Here is a 14,335-nt window from a genome sequence, read left to right as displayed (position 1 = left end):
CTGATTATAAGCCAAAGAATACGGGCAGTCACTAGAAGCTGAAAAAAGCAACGAAACAGATTTCCCCCTCAGCGCCTTGAGAAGGAACTAGACCTGCTGACACCTTGACTTAAGCTCAGCAGAAATGATGTTGGACTTCTGACATTCAAAACTGTAAGAGATTAAATTTGTGTTGTTTTAATCCACCACATTTGTGGCCAATTGTGAAAACAATAATAGAAAACTAATACAATTCATTTTAAAATTTGTGATAAAATTTCTGAGGCATGTAAGCACTTTGGAAGTTGTCATAGTTTTACCATGTCTCAGGCAAAGTAAGGTTTTTACAGCCAGGAGTGTCTGTTTTAGAATCAGGCACTATTGCTTAGTAGGCCTGCAATAGAAGGGGAGTTATTAAGCTCTTTGAGTCTTATTTTTTCTGTATTTAAAAACTGGAAAAAGAAATAGAATCTACCTCTTAAAACAATTATAAAGATAAAATGAGAAAATACATGTAAAAGCTCTTAGTATAGGGCCTGAACGCATAGTAAGCAATTAAAACGTTTTTGCCATTGTTATATTTTAGACACATGTTAATCTCTGTTGCTTTATGTAACATACGTTAGTGCAGAAAAACCTGTAATGAACCAGTTAATAAGATCTTGCTCTTTTTATCACCAAGGGATAAAGCCAGTAGGGTTGTCAAAAGACTGAGATACATCTGGAACCAGGAAGCCACAGGAATTGAAGGGACACAGAAAACCAGGGCGAGACATTAGCATTAGAAAGAGAACTCATATTTGTTGAGTATCTTCTCTATCTTTGCTGAACTCTTTATATATGTTCAGTAAGAACAATGGTGCTATAGGAAATATATTATTATCTGAATTTTGTCAGTGAAAACAATGAACAGGCAGAAAATTAAGTTGTCCAGGATCAGAAACTTAGCAAACGGCAGTAAACATTTGAATTAAATTTGACGCATGTTACAGCTTAAGCACTTCAACACACCAGTAACAGCGAAAGTCTGGCATTAAGTGAGCCATATTCTATGTGCAGGACAGGAATCTATTCCAGACTGGTGACTCAGGATGCTCAGTTGGAATCTGGTTTCAGGCATTTTAACACCCAAGAACACAGGAATTATACCTTTTATTTTTGTATGTGCAGTGAAGAGCTTAATTTTTAGTTTATAATGGAAATTTTTATTTGTTAAAATATTCCTCTGGTATATCCCTAGATAAAGCAAACTCTCTCTCCCTACATTATCATTTTTGCTCAATACATTTTTTTATTTATTAGGAATATTCCAGAGAAAGTTTGATCATATTCTTTGCTAGGGTAATCCATATTATAAGTATAGCACACCAAAGTGGAATAATAAATTTAACTCAATGATGCTGGGCTCTATGTGTCTAAGCATGGCTGTTTTGAAGAGAAGGGATTCTACAGTTAGACAGAGATATGCCTATAAGGTATGCCTTCAACCCTCCACTAGGACAATTCCCTGTCCATGGTGTGTTTCCTACTCTACCAGTAGCTTGATTCTGTGCTGGTTCAAGTGGTATTTTGACATTCCCATGGGCTAGTTAGTAATATACAAGGCAAGTTGACCATATTTGAATCACGGAAATGAGATGAATTTTTGTCATTTAGTTATTTTAACATTTTATGGGGAAAAAAACAAAAAAAGTGACAAACTTTTCATCTGTTTGCCCATTTGATATCCTAGTGGTTTATCAGTTATGAATCCTACATCTACTAGAGATTTGCATGATTCTATTGATATATTATCTTTCCTGCATTTGATTTAGGTGACAATAATTTTCATGATATTTTTATCTGTCTTTTCCAAAAATCAGAGCATCTACCCTCGGACCTTGAGGCGAACAAATAAAGCCATAACAGTGTTTATATTTCTTTCTTGTATAGTAAGGCCATTTTTCCCCATTTCCTGGGAGAAGAAACTTTAGGGTCAATTTTGACATTTGCTTCTATTCTTATCCACATTCGTTAGTCTTATAATTTTCTTTAAACTATGTCTTGAATTCCTTGTCCTGCCACATTTTTGACAGAGTCTTTCTCTGCTAATAATGAGAATGACAATTACATATGTTAGTTGGGCCCTTCATATATACCAGAAACTTTTTAGGTGGCTTACGTGCATTAAAACATTTAATGTTCATAACACCCTAATAATTTACATGCTATTATTTGTTTTATGTGAAAGGAAATGCAGTCAGAAGGTTTAGCTTGCTCATGACCTTACAGTTGCAAAGTTGAGAAGTATTACAGTATTTTTTTGATATTTTGTGTTGTTGTTTTACATTTCTCTTTCTTTCCTCCATCCAATCTATATCAAATGCATTGACAGGCAACCCTTCCCTATAAATATCACTGTTAATAACACCTACTCAATGCCTCCCGCATTAATTTCTATTATTAACCAATTTTTAAGGGGCTATGTAATCAGCTTCATTTTGCACCATACACTCTGGTCTCCTCAACATCTTAGTTCTTCTTCTCAATCCTCAACACAAATAAAGTATCATAATCGTTTACTCAGAATGCTTGGGTAATCCATATTATAAGTATGGCACACCAAAGTGGAAGAATAAATTTAACCCAATGATGCTGGGCTCTATGTGTCTAAACATGGCTGTTTAGGGATCAGATGTAGAAAAGATTTCAGAAATCTTTAGATCTTGGAAAGATACTAATGGAGGCATATCTGTAAACTATGTAGCAATCCTAGTTAGATCCAAGGCAGCATCCTTAAATAAACATATTAATATTTTTCAGCTAAATAGGTAAAGACTCACACTAATTGTGATACATATAGACTATTAAAATCTTTACATCAGTTCAGGTCCTATTTTATCAATAAGTGTGTTACAAAAACTTTCATTTTTCAGAACTTTGTGGATTTCAGGGCTGAATATTAGGAATTGAGGAATTAATAACACTTTCATTATCTTAAGGTCATCATGTTATCTAAAATGTAAACTTATTCCCACACTCACAAATAGAAACCTTATAATTGCTTTAATACACAGCTTAAGTCAAACCCTGCAACCCCCACAGTGAAACTTGGGTCGCAGAAACACAACCCAATGTATCTTTCTTCCGCACTTAAAAGCCACACAATTTAACATTAGATGGGGATAGGTCTGTAAGTGTTCTACGTTTTTTCACCCTTCTCAACTAAACCTTAAGCATATAGTGATTAGAAATCATGTCTTATTTCTATCAACCCATAACAAGATGGAGTCATGTAAGAGTTTAAATTACTATGTACATCTTTGTCTAAGTGTTCCAGGAAATTACTGGATTGGCTATGTTTAACAAGGTGAATCAAGTTTATGTGGAATATTGATAAAGATAAGAAAGTTACTTAAATGATTAGTTATGTTTTCTTTTCTCATAATGTGTTAGAACAACTTTTATTATTTTCTTTATTATATGTAGAGATGCGAACTGTTGACACATTATTAATTACTGGCACATTTAAGAAGGCTGCTGTGGTATAGTCATGTGTCACTTAATGACAGGTATACATTTGGAGAAACGTTTCCTCAGGCAATTTCATTTTGTGCAAACATCATAGAGTGTACTTACGCAAATGTAGATGGTACAGCCTTCTATCTACGTAGGCTATTTGGTGTATCCTAGTGCCCTTAGGCTAAAAACCTGTCCCCAGCATTCAGTACTATAATCTTGTGGGACCTCTGTTATATATGTGGTCCATTGTTGATTAAAATGTCTTTATATGGTGAATGACTATTTATACAAAGATCTTGAGTTTTGAAAATGGATAGGCCATTTTCAAATAGGTTTGACTACTGATAAATAAACAAACCTTTCTGAGCCTGTGCTTTTCCATCTGTAAAACAGATAGCTAATACTTCCCACACGCAAGAATTTTACTGAAGACACATATTAAATGCTACTGACCCCCCTCCCCGCCCCATTTGTCAAATAAAAGAAAAAGGTGCCCAAAGTTTCAGCCTTTCGACCTGCTAACGTTGTCCTGTAACCTTGTAGAAATCACTTACTAGTTTTTATGGCTACTAATTCTTCTCTAAAGAGGGGGAAATAACTGTTTCACCTAACTTAAATTGAAAAAGTGAATCTTTTAAGGGCTTTCAATCTGTGAATTCACCTTACTACTTAGCGTATGGTGTGTATTCTTTTGTCAAAATTTAATGTAAAGAACTGAGGTGGTGTTTGGCTTTCAAGATCACTCACATTAACAATAGAGTAATTTTTCCCAAAGTGTGTTTTTCTTCCATATAATAAAATTCTGCAACTTTCAGTACATTAGCCCGTTTCATGTCTTTGGCAGGAAATACAGTAGCCAAGGAAAATTAAAGTCCAAACCTGAGACTGAAAAAACCCTGAGGTAATGCATAGACCCTGGGGTCATGTTCTGGTAGTATTTTAAGAGTAAAAAGCAAGAGAAATTCTGAAAGAGAGGTTATAGTCAAAGGAACCTGGTAGCAAGTAGTTGGGGGTGGCACTTCATGTTAGAATATTATGTCTAAAATTGTCTGGTTAAATTATAAGTTCTTTGAGAGCTAAATTTAATACAATAAACTATGTAAAATTCCTGCAGAAACTCCAGAACCGAACAATAGATGCTCTGGCAAACATGTGTTTGACGCTGAAGAGGCTAGAAGGCTCTCAGTTGTGCTATTTAATTTGAGGGAAGATGAGTTTAGCTGAAATACCATAAAACTTCTTACAGTTTTTTTTTCTTCTTGATACCAACATTTTATCTTTTTCTCCCCAATTCTGTCTGTTTTAAACAGTGTAATAATCTTATGTGTGTGGGTTTTGAAGAGGAGCAACAGTTACCTGGTCAAAGATTTAACTTCCTCATCTATAAAATGGTAATGATAATAATAGTTCATATTGCATAGATGAGGATTAAATATGGTAATAGGTGTAAAGTGCTTTAACTAACTCCGTAAAAGCTAACTAGAATGAAGATGATTCTGTATGGTGCATGTTGAGAGTTCTTTTGAGGATGAAAATATGAGGCAAAGAAAGAGTAAGAAGATGAAGAAAAGAATTAGGTAAACAGCAGGAGGTGTGGCAGTAGAAATAAAATGAGAACAAGCATGGAACACAGCCCCAGTTCTTTCCCAAGTTCAAAGTATTTTTCTCTCATAAGACCATGTTCTATAGAGATATAAATGCCAGTTGTACCAAACCCCCATATATAGCCACACAATTAGCTGTATAAAGCAATATGATTTAAAAGTTACGAGCATGGGATTTGTAATTGCAAAACCAATAGTTTAAATCCTCATTTCAAAACATATCAGTTTTATGACCTGGAGAAATGACTTAAGTACTTTGAATTTTAGTTACATTTGATAAAAGGAGGCTATTAATAGCTCCTACTTTGTGGATTGTTGAGAACACTGAACAAGATAAAGACTGGGCACAGGATTAGCATAATTCTTGAGATATAGTATGTGTTGTATAAATAGGTGGTTTGCATTTATATTTATTGTATTATACTCTCTTAAAAATTTTACTTACACAGAAGCTTTAAAAACTCTTGCATAATTAATATGCCTTGTGTGTGTATATGAGTGTGTGTATGTAAGAGAGAGAAAGAATGAGAGAGAGATAGTAAAGGACAGGGGTGAAAGAGCTGGATGGGCAAACACTGAACACACTCCATAAGGCCATGTTGTTTGTTAACTGATGAATGGGAAATTTGCTACTTTGTCTCCCTGTGATCTTGTTGTACTTTTGTGTGTACATGATTGGTGAAAACTACCTGATGGTGAAGTTTCAACTCTTTTATTAGTATGTTGCCTTGACTTGAACTTTTAGCTATGAAATTATTTCTTCTTCTTGAATGTGAATGTGCAATGATTCCTGAATAAAACAGAAACGTTCAGAAAGTAATCAGAGTGGCTCAATTCTTGCAGTAAGTAGAATGAAAGTGATCTGCTAACAGTGATATTTGAGGAACACAGGAAACCTTAATTTGTGAATATTTTCATGAACTTATAACTAGAACAGAAAACTTTCAGCAAATTTGTAGGTAAAATGAGCTAACCCGTGCTCTGAACTATTGTGCTGATTTCTACCAATTTATTTCTAATTTATAGGCATTTTAAAATTATATCCAGGGCCTCTTTTTTTATACTGTCTAGCATGAAAAATATTGTTAAGATTAAATGAGCAGCATTTTTCTCAGTTCTGTTCAAACCACAGATGCTACGTTTGATTTTGTTTCTAACAGTGAGATTGAAATTCTATTTTAATATGCAGAACTGCAGCCCAGGGAGTAATAAAATACAGAGTGTTTTCATTAGATGATGGCCCTGCACCTCTAGTTAACAGGAAAGCTGATTCATCAAACAGCAACCATCAAGACAGCATTAACTAAGACCTGGAATGAAAACACGAGATTGGGGTGAAAATTACCTGTTTTGCATCACGTAATTGTAACTTTGGAGAAATTCCTGGTTTGTGGCATAAAACTGTTTCCAGGGATGCAGAAGTGTTTGCTGTAAATTTGCTACAGATGGTCTAGAGATTGAATGTTTTCTGCATTTAACAGGGATCTTAAAGTTTATACCAGTCGCCCCTAATTTATAGGAATGAACATTCACCTTTACGCTTTCTGCTCCCCACCAGAAAAAGAAATAATCAGAACTAATTCTGCTTTTCAATGTACCTCTCAAATATTTACATACACAAAATATGGAGTTGGATTTTTAGGCCATTTTATTCTAGTGGAATTCACAGGTAAGGGATTCTATCTCCAGTCAAAATGTCCCCGTGGACTCTAGGCAATAAATTGACATGATTCTTCTCATCATATAATTGCCCATAGAAAAAGGGATAGCTTTTCTTCTCCTAATGAATTCTAACGCACTTTAAAAGCAAAACAAGTAACAACAATAAAAATAACAAAACACTCAAGCTTTGTGATACATGTAGTTATTGCAGCTTGATATAAAATGTTAAAGCTAGAAGAAATTTTAAAGATCATCTAGTTTCACTGGTTTTAAGCTGTTCCATGAAGTTGCCTTGCGGGTAGCTTTAAGTGGAAAGCCTGGGAACTGAGACAAGGGGAGATTTACATGCTTCTTTGGAGGCCCTCACATTTCCTTTCAAGTTTCAGCCAGATCGCATTCACTTTACCTGTTTAATCTAATGGGTTCTATTGAAGGATTTCTTTGGAAAATGGATACAACTGTTTAGACGTATTTGAAAACTACGTCAACCTAGTCATATTACCAATGATCCAAAACTTTGTCACCAAGTAGAAAAACCAAGACTAGAATCCTGATTCTTAATGTAGGGTTTGCTGGGTTTTTTTAAACCACATTTTGAAATTTAGTTATTGCAGTTAGGTCAGTGTTTGTATCCCCATGATGCACATCCCTTTTGTACATTAATCAGTTGATGTTACATTTAAAAGTCAATAGCTAAAGAACATTTATATAATATCTATGACAGGTTTCCTGAACACAATGCCCTATTTAAAATACTCTGATCTTTTATGGGAAAAACAGCATTAACAAAAATAAAAACCAAATTTTATACTGTGGGTAGAACTGAAAATAACTCCCTAAATATATAATTCGGTGATGAAATATCAAATGTAAGTACTTAAGGTAACAGAGAAGAAAAGGTAAAAGAAACAAAGTAATTATTTTTATTTGTTGACTAGTCATTTAAATTGAACACTACCAGAATACTATTAAGGCCAAGTTATTTGACTAAATGATGGACTTGGTACAGAAAAATCATATTTGTGCATATGTGACACATATACAATTTGAATAATCGGCAAATAAATGAAGGAGACAAAATAATTAATTATTAAAGCCACCACTGTCTTAGTCTGTTTTCTGTTGCTATAACAGAATACCTGAGACTGGGCAATTTATACTTAACATAAATTTATTTCTTACAGTTCTAGAGGCAGGAAAGTCCAAGGTCAGGAGCCTCATCTTGTTAGGGCCTTTTTGCTGTGTCATAACATGTCAGATGCCATCACATGGCCAGAGTGCTAGAGTACATCAGCTCAGGTCTTTCTCTTCTTATAAAGCCACCAGTCCCATGATGGAAATCCCATTCTGATTACTTTATATAATCCTAATTACCTCTTAAAGACCCCACCTCCAAATACTATCAACACATGAATTGGGTGATGAAGTTTCCAACACATGAAATTTGGGGGACACATTAAGATAACAACCAGTAATACTCTGTGCACTAGATTCAGTATGAAACAAGGTTTAGATATATTAATTCATGTAGGAATAGGAAAAATGTTCAAGACCAGCACTGAAAAAGGAATGGGATGAGAATGAGTGATGTGCAAAGGAGTGGAATATAATAAATTTTTTATTTCAAAAACTTACTACGTATCTATAACTTTTTGGAATCTGGGATAGATAAATAAGCAAATTGATAGAGATTGTAGTTTAAGGTGTCAACATAATAGGTAAATAAGTTATCCAACAGAAATGTAGAACTGCAAATAGTGATAAATACCATGCACAGGCTGGGCACGGTGTCTCATGCCTGTAATTCCAGCACTTTGGGAGACCGAGGCGTGCAAATTGCCTGAGCTCAGGAGTTCATGACCATCCTGGGCAACATGGTGAAATCTCATCTCTACTAAAATACAAAAAAAGTAGCCAGGCGTGGTGGCATGTGCCTGTAGTCCCAACTACTCAGGAGGCCGAGGGAGGAGAATTGCTTGAATGTGAGAGACAGAGGTTGCAGTGAGCCGAGATCATGCCACTGGACTCCAGCCTGGGAAACAGAGCAAAACTCTGTCTCAAAAAAAAAAAAAAAAAAAAATACAATGCACAATGAAAGTTAGTTTCAATAAAAATTTGGGGATGAAGGCAGGTAGTCCATGTGAAAGAAGAACATAGTCTGAAGTTAGAAGATGTGATAAAATTTAGCAAACTGAGGAACTGAGCCATGGTGGAACTATTTGTTTTGTTTATACTCAGGATACAAGAATGCATTAATCTTATCTACTCAATTTCATGATTGATACCATTACTTTATTTTTTCTCATTGAAACTGTAGCTTAGTTTTAGTAAAGAGGAAGAACAAATACTCCTTTCAATAATATGGAAATAATGCATTCATTTTCACTAAAAATACTACTCACTAATGGTGTTTGTTAAAATATAACTGTGATATTGTGAAATACATATTTGGTCTTTATCCCAATTTCCTGACATATAGCTCCTAAAATCCTTGGAGTAAGTAGAATGGAGAGTATCTGTTATATGTTAATGAGATGACTAGTGACTAGCAGCCCCTAGGTAGCTTCAGGATGGAGGCTGGTTACCAGAAAGACCAAGGCTTTGTTAGAGGGTTGGGATTTTTAACCCCTCCCCTCCTACCTCTGGAGGAAGGTAAGGGCTAAAAGTTAAGGTGGTCACCAATGGCCAATGACTTAATCAATCATGACTACATAATAAGACTTCCATGAAAACCCAAAAGAATTGGGGTCAGTAGCTTCCAGATAGCTAAACAAGTGGAGGTTCCTGGAGGGTGGTGTGTGCTGAGAGGGTATGGAATCTTGGTGCTCCCTTCTCCCACGCTTTGCCTTATGTGTCTCTTCCATCTGGCTGTTCATCTTTATCCTTTGTAATATCCTTTATACTGAACTGGTAAATGTAAGTACGTGTTCCCCTGAGTTTTTTGAGCCTCTTTAGCTAATTAATGCAACACAGGAAGGGGGTCATGGGAACGCAAATTTATAGCCAGTTGGTCAGAAACACAGGTAAAACAACCTGGGACCTGTGATTGCCATTGGAAGTGCAGAGCAGTCCTGTGGGACTGAGCCCTCAGTCTGTGGGATGTGATACTGTCTTCAGGTGGATAATGTCAAAACTGAATTGAAATAGAGAACGTCTAGCTGGTATTCACTACAGGATCTCCTGCAGAATCATCTGCAGAATTGCTTGCTTACTCCCCCCACATACATTTGGTCACAGAAGTGTTTTTGTTGTGAGAGTATAGTATGAAAAACTGAGTTTACTTTTTGTTATATCTACAATACCCATTCCGGCATTAAAAACTGCTGAACATGGTAAAGATATGATTGAATCTGATGACATTTACATAGTGTATTATTTTTAGGCAGCATTATCTTTCCATCAGGGCAAAAAAAAAAAAGATAAAACTTTTCCCCGGATATCAATTTTGAATCAAATGTGTATATATGTTTTTACACAGATAAATTAGTCTTTATTTGTTCCATATATTCTCATGCATTCGACAGAAATAAACAGCTGTCTTAACCATGGTAATATTTGCAATTATTTTCTTTAGCAGTGCAAGACTTACACAGTCCAGCTTCAGCATTTCCCTGCAGCCATTTATAAGTGATTATTGCATAATTATTCCCAGAGGATAAGCCAATTTCAGAGAGTAACAGCTACACGACATCATTTCAAGAGCTTTTGAAGTGAAGAAGCAAGGGCCCCTGTCCTTTATTTCTTGGTGAATTTGCTTAGAATGCTGAATAACTAGAATGTTGAATAACTATTATTGTTATTTTCAATTTCAAAACAGCAGCTACTGCAGCCATACAAACCTTGGTTCATTTCTCCATAGTAGACATGTGACTTTGAACAAATTATTTCTTCTCTATTATTCTCCCTTTCCACTTGTATAAAATAAATATAATTATAGGACCTATTTCAGAGTGTTTCTTTGAAGACCAAGGATAAATTCTTTGGAACATAGTTATAGCATAATAAGTGGAATTATTAATCTATCTTCAAAACCAAAGTCTATCAGTTCAATGAAAGAGTAAAGGATCCCAAGAAAAGATTTATTAGATTGTGCTCTGGTGAAAAATAGGCTGAAACCATCAGGGGCTTAATGGAATATTTTCTGGTTTTATGTACCCTGGTGGGTATGGCTTAACAAAGATTAAAGAGTTGAGAGAGAGAAAGAGAAAATACCAGATCTGTCTAAGAGAACTTCTCTTAGTCTCATAAGTGAGATTATTGCAACACAGGGCTCATTTCCCCAAAGGTCTTATTCACCTTCTACCTCCATAATCAACATATCCTTCCTGAATTTGCTTTTTTTTTTTTAGGTCTACCTTTATGTGTGGCTGAAAAAAGGATGAGGAAACAACTACTATTTATTAAACAATTTCTAGGTTGTAGTGTTTTATATACATGGTCATTTAATCCTCATAACAAGCCAGTGAAGAAGAAATTTGTGATCTCATGCTACTAATTCGGGTCTGGGATTTACAGAAATCACATTATTTTCAAGGTCATACAGCTTACACATAGTAGACCAAAGATTCAAATTCAGGTCACAGCTGTTCAGGGAATCACTTTCATTTTGTGACTTCGAAAGTCAGCTATTTATCTGCTCCTCTCTACTACCATGTCCAATTCAAGATCGAATATCTTGGTCCTAGCCCATACCAAGTACATAAGAGAAAATACTATATACTCGCTGATTGGATGAATAGTTATTCATCAAGCCCTCAAAACCACTGCAACACGGGCAAACAGCGGAGTAAAGGAGTATCGGATGGTCCCTCTAGGAAGGAGATAAGCCACAACTTTCTTGGTACATTTCACAGTTCCTAAGACACTGGAGAATATATTAAGTTGGTGCAAAAGTAATTGTGGTTTTTGCCATTAAATGTATTGGCAAGACTGGGAGAGGTGGCTCATGCCTGTAATCCCAGCACTTTGGGAGGCCGAGGCAGGCGGATCACGAGGTCAGGAGGTCGAGACCATCCTGGCTAACAAGGTGAAACCCCATCTCTATTAAAAAAAAAAAAAAAAAAAAAAAAAAAAATTAGCCGGGCGCCTGTAGTCCCAGCTACTCGGGAGGCTGAGGCAGGAGAATGGTGTGAACCCGGGAGGCGGAGCTTGCAGTGAGCCAAGATCGGGCCACTGCCGTCCAGCCTGGACAACAGAGTGAGACTCTGCCTCTAAAAATAAAATAAAATAACATAAAATAAAATAAAATAAAATAAAATAAAATAAAATAAAATAAAATAAAATAAAATAAAACAAAATAAAATAAAAAATAATAAAAATAAAAAAGTGCACTGGCAAAAACACAATTACTTTTGCACCAACCTAATATAAAGTCCAACCATTGTTGGCTGAATAAGTCTATTGTCTTTATTTCAAAACTGAGTACTCAGAATCCAGATATCTTTTTACTTATATTTCTCTTTGAAATAAAATTTTAGAAAATAGGTTTTGTTAAAACTTATGCTGAAGAAATTCCTGGTAGGAGAACTACAAAGCAAATTCTGGATTCAAAACAATTTGCAATCAAACATCATGTGGTAAAGCAATATGCCTACCAAAAGAAATTAATGAAATTAATGAAACCAAGGCTAAATATTTGAAGGTAATAGTATTCTGAGATTTAATTATAGGGGGCAAAAGAAAATGGCTGCTGAGTGTATTTTTATTTATGCAAGCCTTCTCAGAAAGACAGAAAGGAAAAATATTACCTATTAACTTCTTACTTAGTGCATTAACATCTCTTTTCCCCACCTGCAAAATGAATACTTCAAAGTATGAGCACTCTGATTTCTTTTTCTCTTTCTGTTTTTTATTTTTATTTTTATTTTTTGACAGTCTGGCTTGCCACCCAAGCTGCAGTGCAGTGGTGTGATCTCAGCTCATTGTAACTTCCACTTCCAAGGCTCAAGCGATCCTTCTGTGCCTCAGCCTCCTGATTAGCTGGGACAGGCGCATGCCATGACGCCTGGCTAATTTTTGCACTTTTGTAGAGATGGGGTTTCGTCATGTTGCCTAAGCTGGTCTGGAACTCCTGGACTCAAGCAACCTTCCCACCTTGGCCTCACAAAGTGCTGAGAATACAGCTGTGAGCCACTGCGCCTGGCTAACGCACTGATTTTTATCAGCGAGGAAAAGACCAGTGACATACCGGCCCCTACATAGAGAGCCTGTTTATAACATATTGTAAAATCTTAGTAGTCTTGCCCTCACCAGCTTCTTCCCTATGCTGCATCTTGTTCCACAGATGATTATCATCTGCTCATGTGCAGGCAAAGGTAAATTCCTTGCAATGTATGAGAGAAAAGAGCTCATTACCTCTGAATTAGCAACTCCTGCAAAGATTGCATGGCAGAAGGGACAATATTTTGAAATCAGTTATACTTGCTTATGTATCCTAAATGCTGCTTTTTTTCCTGACAGATAATATCAAATATCATACTAACTTCATATAGTAAATTTTTATATTTTGTCAGTAAAAATTCATAAAATAATATGGTTGAATTCTGCATTCTGACTGTTTTCACCCTTGAGTAAACTCTTTAATATCTTTTTTTTAGGTTTTTATATCTGTTACATATGTATAATTTGTTCTCAGACATTGCTGTGAAGACTAAATAAAATGCCATATGTGGAGGTCACAATGTAATACCTAACACCAGGTAACTGTTTAATAGTTAGATATTTTTATTGGTATCCTAGATGCTACCTTCCAAATCTAAATGTTCTTGTCCTTCTGAGAAACTATCAATAAATTATTTTTACTCCACATCCTGGAGCAAATAGAATTGAGAACTAGTCTTTTTGCTATTGGTTCTTTCGAAAGGGAGAGCCCTTCTCTAGCTTTCTCCATGTTCCTGCCTCTACTCATTGAAAGGAGATGCCATTAGTGCAAGATCCCTTTTCTCACTGAGGGCAGTTTTGGAGAAAATACTGTAGGTGTATTTGTATTCACTTGGTCACATTTTGCTAGTGGATAGGGTAAATATATTTTAAAAATTTGAACCTGTATCCATATGTCCTTTCTAGTTGTGTTGCTCAGGGATTGTAGTCACTCATGCACTGCCTGCTTTCCTATACTAAACACACCTGAGATCTTCTAGTCTCAGTGAGGTTCACTATTCTCTCCCAGTTTTGTCACTTACATCTGATGGATGCTACACTGTGAGCCCAAGTGGTTTTGATTAGAGATAAATAGGAAGCAGGAGGGAGTCGAAGGGTCTGTGGTGACACCACGTCTAAGATTACACGTTACTATAAATCTTGTGTCTTGGCATTTGTAAAGTGCTTGCTTATCTAGTATAGCTGTAAAGGCATACTTTCCCTGTTGGCTTGTGAGCCTTATTAGCCAGAAGTTGATAAGAGTGGGAAATGATAAGGTTGGGATGGGAAATCGGGTGAATTGCATCTAAAAAATATTGTAACATGAAGATTATAAAGAAATAGTTAAGTTTGGCCATTCTGCAAAAAGACTTATTCTGTATTATTATTGCTTGTGGCTCATAAACGAAGCGAGACCTGGATGTGACTTTTGCACACGTATCTCAATATTT

The 14,335-nt window shown here is 35.7% G+C and overlaps 1 long non-coding RNA gene across 1 annotated transcript in view; it reads left to right on the top strand.

Moving 5' to 3' along the window:
• LOC105375996 (uncharacterized) overlaps window positions 1-13,490 on the top strand; it is a 28,178-nt gene extending 14,688 nt beyond the window's left edge. Inside the window, exons 2-3 of the long non-coding RNA XR_929525.3 lie at window positions 4,791-4,871; window positions 13,343-13,490. This is a non-coding gene — a long non-coding RNA (uncharacterized LOC105375996). The remainder of the gene's footprint in view (window positions 1-4,790; window positions 4,872-13,342) is intronic.
• Window positions 13,491-14,335: the final 845 nt, after the last annotated feature.

The sequence above is a fragment of the Homo sapiens genome, chromosome 9 (assembly GCF_000001405.40).
Source record: "Homo sapiens chromosome 9, GRCh38.p14 Primary Assembly".
Classification (NCBI taxonomy): domain Eukaryota; kingdom Metazoa; phylum Chordata; class Mammalia; order Primates; family Hominidae; genus Homo; species Homo sapiens.
The sequence above is the reverse complement of the archived record's forward strand: the minus strand, read 5'-3'. Positions and strand labels throughout refer to the sequence as shown.